This window comes from Homo sapiens, chromosome 11 (assembly GCF_000001405.40).
Source record: "Homo sapiens chromosome 11, GRCh38.p14 Primary Assembly".
NCBI lineage: Eukaryota > Metazoa > Chordata > Mammalia > Primates > Hominidae > Homo > Homo sapiens.
In genome coordinates, this window is record NC_000011.10 from 4327032 (window position 1) to 4332342 (window position 5311).

Genomic DNA, 5311 nt, shown 5'->3' on the forward strand with positions numbered 1-5311 from the left:
TTCAAAACACACAAAACATCTTCCTTTTCAGTAACACTTATAGCTGGTCTCTGAGATTTTTCTTCTTTTCATTTGTTAGATTTCTTTAGGTCTCAGTCATTGAGTCTGATAAGACATTTCACAACATATTTAAGATCTGACTAGCTTTTCATTTATGTTGAATGTTTCCTCTCATTTGGTTTTTCAAGAAAATCCTGTTCATTCTCTATGCCCGAAGCAGTGCATTTAACAATTCTTCAGATGCTTCTAATGTATAGTCAAGTTTCAAAAATCTCTAGGGAAGTTCTTCTAAAACTTTGGCTTTTGGAATTATTAGGAAGACTTTGAAAAACACAGATCTCTGGGCTTCACCACTCGAGTTTCTGATTCAGTGGTTTGAGGTCCAAATTTGCATTTTTTTTTAATAGCTCCCAATTGAGGCTAATGCTGAGCACACACTTTGAGAAACTTGAAGGTGTTTACTGATTTAAAAAATACAGTAAGCACTCACTAACTGTGGTCAATAGGTTCTTCAAAACAATGACTTCAAGCGAAATGATGTATAATAAAATCAATTTTATCATAGGTTAATTGATATGAACAAGAGTCACAAAAGCATCACCAAATTTCTAAATAAAGATTCAACACACTTTGAATATTAAACCTTGAAATAAATGTGAGTTATACACACATTTAAGAAAGCGTAATAAAACCAAGTAAGATTATTATTTACCCAAATTTCGGTGAATCAGTGAGTGACAGCGGTTGTAGTTGTGGTAAGTTAAATCAAGGAATAAATGTTTGCAAAGAAAAAATTATAAGGAGCTCTTCCTACTACTACACAGTTAAAAACCAACAATGACAGACACGGCAGGCTGATCTATTTTGTACTCTGATCATTATTGTCTTGCATTTGTATGATTACCACATATTTTATGAATTTTTATTTTTCAATAATTTGTATTCATTCATTCATTTTCCAATCCGCTGATTCCACTTTGGAGTGGCAGGTGGCTGGAGCCAATCTCGGCAGCTCAAGGTGTGAGGAAGGAACCAACGCTGGACAGGACCCCATCCGGGATTCAGGGCACACCCTCACACTAGGACCATAGAGATGTCAGTTCACCTAATGTGCACATCTTTGGGACGTGGGAGGAAACAAGAGTATCCAGAGACAACCCACACAGACATAGGGAGAATACGCAAACTCCACAGAGACAGTGGCCCCGCCAGAAGTCAAATTCTTTTCTCATTAATGTTATAATAAAATGACGTTAAGTGAGGCTGGGGACAGTGGCTCATGCCTGTAATCCCAGCACTTTGGGAGGCTGAAGCGGGTGGATCACTTGAGCCCCTGGCCTTTTGAGACCAGCCTGGGTAACATGGTAAAATTCCATCCTCTACAAAAAATACAGAAGTTATTCAGGTATGGTGGTACACACCTGTAGTCCAAGCTACTCAGGAGGTCGAGATGAGAGGAATGATTGAGCCCAGGAGTTTGAGGTTGCAGTGAGCCATGATGGCACCACTGCATTACAACCGGGGTGACAGAGTGAGACCCTTTGTCAAAATGAAAAAAGAAAAAAAAGGATGTTATTTGAGAACCTGCTGTATTTGCAATGTAAGAATCACCTTAAGAAGGACATAGAAAAATACAATATATTGCTTTATAGATACATTTTGTCACTGCACCAGGGACAAAAGTGATGTCCCTGATCTGATTTACATTGATAAAAATGTGAGCTATACATACAATTAAGAAAAATTAATAAAAAAAAGCAAGGTTAATATTTACTCAATTTTTGGTGAATCAGTGAGTGACAGCAAACAGAGCTAACCTATAAATAAATCCCGACTGGGTGGGGCCCCCTTTGTGGAGAGTTGCAGCTTTAGGAATTTAATAATCTTGATGATTGTTTCGATTAGTTAGGAGCCCATTATCATAATCTAATCAACCATAAGGTGACTGATTATAAAGTGACAGGATTATCCTTAATGTTTGGAACCCCTTTCATAATTTAAAAATCTCTTCATTTTCTTAATAAATTTTACAAACTTTTAAAGAAAAATAATTCTAAACATTGTATTTCAGTACCGAAAACTAAGACACAACTGTACCTGAAGGCATATTAAAGTAGGCAGAGGCTTGCAGCAATTGCTGCCTTCTCTGGAGAATCATTATGATTCCAGTAATATCAAATGCAGAAAATGTTGTGTAGAATAACTCTTAAAATACCATAAGCAGATATGTTTTTGAGAATGGGATTTTTTTTGTATTGGTGAAAAATTTTGTGAATTTCTGTACAAAACTATGTACAATGGTCCTGTGATTTATGCAATTGCATTTCTCGAACACTATGAAAATTAAAACAAGCAACATCACTTGTAATTTATAATTAAATAGGGTGCAGCCTTGGACATTGTCAATATGTTTATCATCCAATTTAATGTCTGAAGGTCACTGGAGAGTCCTATGACATGCTTGCAGGTAGCTTAATTGTCTTGGCCATTGTCCATAGCAGCCCCCATTCACTAGGAGAACCACCAGAGCAAACTCCAGATTTTAAGTGAATCCAGACTGGGTGGTGTCACCTTTGCTGAGAGTTACTGCTTTAGGTAATTTAATCATCTGGATTGTTCTTGTGATGAGTTAGGAGACGATTATCACAACCTAATCAATCCAGAAGTCATGAAATCTTCACCCACTAATTCAGGTGACTCAATATAAACCTGCCTCCTGTGCCTCCACATTAGCTCATTTGGAAGACCTGGGTATAGGTGGTCGTCTCCTCGGCTCCGAGTCCCTGCAGCAACTGAGGTGCCTGTGTCTCTCTGGTTCCCAGTGGCCACCATCATGCTCTCCTCCCCACTCAGGGTGGCTGTGGTGTGCGTGAGCAATGTCAACAGGAGCATGGAGGCCCACAGCATCCTCAGGAGAAAAGGGCTAAGTGTCCGGTCTTTTGGAACTGAATCTCATGTGAGGCTACCAGGACCAAGACCCAATCGTCCTGTAGTTTATGATTTTGCAACAACATATAAGCAGATGTACAATGACCTCCTCAGGAAAGATAGAGAACGCTACACCCGCAACGGAATCTTACACATCTTGGGAAGAAATGAGAGAATCAAGCCCGGTCCAGAAAGATTTCAGGAGTGCACTGATTCCTTTGATGTCATCTTCACCTGTGAGGAGAGTGTCTATGACACAGTGGTGGAAGATCTGTGTTCCAGAGAACAGCAGACCTTTCAGCCTGTGCACGTGATCAACATGGACATCCAAGATACCCTGGAAGATGCCACCCTGGGAGCTTTCCTCATCTGTGAGATTTGCCAGTGCCTGCAGCAGTCAGACGACATAGAAGACAATCTGGAGGAGCTGCTGTTGCAAATGGAGGAGAAGGCAGGAAAAAGCTTTCTTCACACCGTCTGCTTCTACTGAACATCTGGGCTGGCTTTGTCCCCTTCCTCAGTAAGAACTTAGGCATGGGACTTTAGTCCGGATTTATTGTGAGAAGCATCTGCAAAGACCTTCCACTGAGTACTGTTTGTGTGACTTTTGTACACATCACCTGGAAAGAGACTATTACCAAGAAAATATTTTATGGGAAATGAGAAGGACTAACATTTTTAAAAGCACTGAAAAATGCTTGGCATTGTGCTAGGTGCATTACATGGGATAACTAATTTCATGCTTATATCATTCTACAAGGAAGCTAGCCCACCATGACGCCATTTTCCAGATAAGCAAACCGAGCTGATAATGGACTGCTGGAAAAATGATTTGTTTAAGGGTATTCAGCAGATAAATAACATTGTATAGATAAGCACCTTTTAAATAAACTTCCTTTTCTCAATTTGAGTGGTTTCTTTTTAATTTTTTAATTTTTTAAGTTAGTTGAGACCAATGGAGTGTGGTATGTTAACTTAAATGTTGTTCTTCTTTAATAAGAGTATAATATTACATGTTTGAACAGATAAATGTTTTTACATATAGATTATATCTTTTTTACTAATGCTCACTTTAATAGGTAAAATCCAAGTTGGATAATGAACTACATATGATTGTAAAATTTGGAATTATCAGCTCAAATCATAGGTCATCAAATTAAATGAAATAAAAAATGTAAATAAAAAGCATATTCTTATTTCTGTTTAGGGGATGCATTTCAAGCCACTAAGCGACATGCTTTTGTTTAAACCTTATGAATTACACTGAAAAAAAAAAAAAACCCAAGTTGGATAACAAACCACAGATTATCGTAAAATTTGGAATTATCTCCTCAAATAATAGGTCACCAAATCAAATAAAAAATTTCAAAAAAAGTATATTCTTATTTATGTTGGGGGATGGATTTCACACCACTAAGCCACATGTTTTTATTTAAGGCTTATAGATTACACTGAAATAAGCAATCTCTCATATTGAGAGATTCAAATTGTATTAAATTGAAAATGTTTATTGATTTGAGCATTGAGAACATCAGGTGATAAACCTAATGATGTTTTCATGGAGAAACAAGTGAAACACTTTCCGTAATCCTTGGTATTGGCACTAAAACATGTTCACTAATAGGAGAAAAAATAGATCACAAGTAGTTGTTCAGAGTTGAATTAATTTACATGTTATCTACTGAATTAGACTTATTATGGCAACCTAAAATAACAGCAGAGATTAGCTTTCCAAAGATAATGAGTTTATTTAAATGAAGGATTGCAAACAGGAATGCACCAGGTATAATAAGTTGTAGGTGCATCCTGAGAGGTTGGGGTAAGGGGAAACTTTTAAAGGCAAAAAGAAGTCCACAGAAACTACTTTAAAACAAAGTTTATTGGTCACAGAAGCTGACTGCAGGAGTTGGCGTTAGCTTCTTGGTGGAGACAGCCATTGCTAGGCATGTGTTCCTGCGAGAACATTTTATCTGGAATGCTGCAGTCTTGAATATAATGCAGTTACAGAAATATGTGTGAACATGCAGAATGAGCAAAGTGTGTAAGACCTGCTGGTGGTGTAAAGCATGTAGGATGTGCCATGATCTCTTGTGGGTTTTAGGGAGTCGTGATAGCTCTTATCTCAGATATACAGGCATGGGCTCCCCTCCTTCATGACCCTGCAGCTCCACTTCACCTGGATCTGACGATAGTGGACTTCATCTTGGTAGTAACAACTTTCACATTTTTGGTATCAGAAACTTTCAAAGTTGTAAGAAAATATTCTTTTTCCTCTTGCAGCGTGGGTAGCAGGAGGCAAGTGGAAGTGGGGAACCCAGCTGGTACAGTAGTTCGCAGAGGAGAGGTTGGAAGCTTGGGGGAGGGAAGTGTCTGTCAAAAGGCA

The 5311-nt window shown here is 38.2% G+C and overlaps 1 protein-coding gene across 1 annotated transcript; it reads left to right on the plus strand.

Moving 5' to 3' along the window:
* The first annotated feature begins 2758 nt into the window (after positions 1-2758).
* On the plus strand, positions 2759-3833 carry SSU72L3 (SSU72 like 3). Its single transcript, NM_001414000.1, has one exon. It carries the CDS (start codon positions 2834-2836, stop codon positions 3416-3418), a length of 585 nt encoding a protein of 194 aa, NP_001400929.1. The 5' UTR covers positions 2759-2833; the 3' UTR covers positions 3419-3833.
* Positions 3834-5311: the final 1478 nt, after the last annotated feature.

What these genes read in the sequence shown, in the direction of transcription:
- SSU72L3 (NM_001414000.1), top strand. Translation starts at nt 2,834, where the DNA reads ATGCTCTCCTCCCCACTCAGGGTGGCTGTGGTGTGCGTGAGCAATGTC.